Source organism: Homo sapiens, chromosome 2 (assembly GCF_000001405.40).
Source record: "Homo sapiens chromosome 2, GRCh38.p14 Primary Assembly".
In the NCBI taxonomy this organism is placed as follows: Eukaryota; Metazoa; Chordata; class Mammalia; order Primates; family Hominidae; genus Homo; species Homo sapiens.
In genome coordinates this window covers 147,463,392-147,465,300 of record NC_000002.12, presented here as the reverse complement: position 1 = coordinate 147,465,300, position 1,909 = coordinate 147,463,392, and the positions used below count along the sequence as shown (strand labels likewise).

Below are 1,909 nucleotides of genomic sequence, written 5' to 3'. Positions count from 1 at the left end.
AAAAGCCCCTCCTGGTTAGATACAAGACTTTGAACTCTGCAGTTAATCCTGGTGGTGAGGGAAGGGGAGAAGGGAAGGGGTGAGTAAATAGTATTGGCAACCTCCTTCCTCTCTTCACCTTGAACTTGGATCTGATCCACAGTGTTACTTCCATTTTCAGAATGGGAAGAAAGTTTCCATCTGACTTCACCCTCACTGGTATTCTATCATGCCAAGCAAGGGGCCGTTTCCTTCAGAGGTCATACAAAGGAACCCCAAAACGTGTGCAGTAGGCTTGTGTCTAAATTATTTATTTGGTTTGTGCTATCTAGTGTTAATGACCTTGCTTGTTGAAAACACCATAAAATGACTCATAGGGTGGTGAGCTGTTAAGGCTCGACTTATGCTAATTAGTTACTTTTATTTTATTTATCAGCATAGTTCAGAACTGGGGCAAAAGTCAACCCACTTTAAAATGGTTGTGTTTTTTTTCCTCTTGACATTTACATTTTTAAACCTTTATTCATTTGCTCCAGGGTAATTCACAGACCTGTCCCTCTTCTTTGACCTTCTTGATAACTTTTATTTGGTCTTTTGTAATAATTTCTTATTATTTAGCCCGGTGATATTTATATACATTAGATACGTAACATTTCTGTGTATCTTATCCTCATGGCTCTAAAAGAAACTATAATGACCAGGTTCTGTTCCACAGTCCATGTCCAACATAGCTTTAATTTAAAACACAAATGATGAGATGTCAGAATGTGTCATCTGGGTCAACGTAGCATTACCAGTACCCTCTGTGGACTCTTTGGGGAGATCTCTACCATGTCTTTTCCAGTGTTCCTCATTTCCATGGATGAAAGGAACCCCAAGATGGAAGAAGGTTATCTCTGACGTCTATGCATGAAGAATCAGCAGCCACTAACTCTGCAGTATAAACTGATTAATGATTAACTAGCATGGCCTAGCTGCCTTGGAGGAAGTGAGACACAGGGGAGGTACGGCTTGGAGAAACAGAGAGAAAGGGAGTCAAAGGCCTCCCATCTCACCTGTCCATCCTGCCAAGAGTGGGTGCTAGTCCCAACAGCCCAACGTGAACATCTCAGCTACCTCTCAGCTTAATTTTTTCATCCTAAGTGACTCCATTACTATAATATTCTTGGAATTTGACACCTTGCTTCACAACGCATCTATGGGAAAAAAAAATCTGTGTTAACAAAGGCGTATCCACTGCTTGGATAGCTGAGACTGGGCCTGGAATTATTCAGAGCCAATCAGTTCCTTATTCAACTGCAGAGTAAAGGCAAGCCCGCCCTAGAAGTCTTGTGTTGTTTTGTACCTGCACCAGGTAAACAGGATCGTTGGTTTGAACTATATTTCTAAAGGTACAGAGGACTGTATTCGAAAACTCAGGTATCTCCTTAGGACTGTGCTGTAAGCATTCATTACAATTAACTCTTCTGTCAAACATATCAAATACTCATATTGCCTATGGAAAACATAAAATTCCTATAATTTGTTAAAGTGTTAAAGTAAGACAGATGCTCCATTTGTAAATATTAAAGAAAAACCCCAGATCAGGTTTGGAGTTGAATCTAGTTCTATGTGATAACCTACAGCTCTTATCTGGAGAAAAGATTCAGCAAAGAAATAATTAGAAGAGACCTTTCCCCCAAAATATCAGTACTACTTTCTCGATTATGACAGACACAAGATAATTTACACAGTGCAATGCATAAAGCTTACTAATGGTTATTTACTTAGATGTGCAAAATACAAAAGGCTCAGGTTAAAGCAATGGTGATGAATCATTTATGAGATATTATCTACTGAGATGGATTGGGTCCATCTGTCATAGCTGGAAAGTTTTTTGTTGTTGTTTATATGTAACTTCATTTAATTTTGTTTACAGTGTTCAAAATGA

The 1,909-nt window shown here is 38.9% G+C and overlaps 1 annotated feature.

The window, feature by feature from the left end:
* Positions 488 to 1,687: an enhancer, noted in NCBI's record as "BRD4-independent group 4 enhancer chr2:148221182-148222381 (GRCh37/hg19 assembly coordinates)". NCBI's record gives its function as "activates an origin of replication core promoter dependent on BRD2, P300/CBP, MED14 and CDK7 cofactors, and independent of BRD4, by STARR-seq in HCT116 cells {active_cell/tissue: HCT116}" and the evidence as "EXISTENCE:reporter gene assay evidence [ECO:0000049][PMID:35650434]".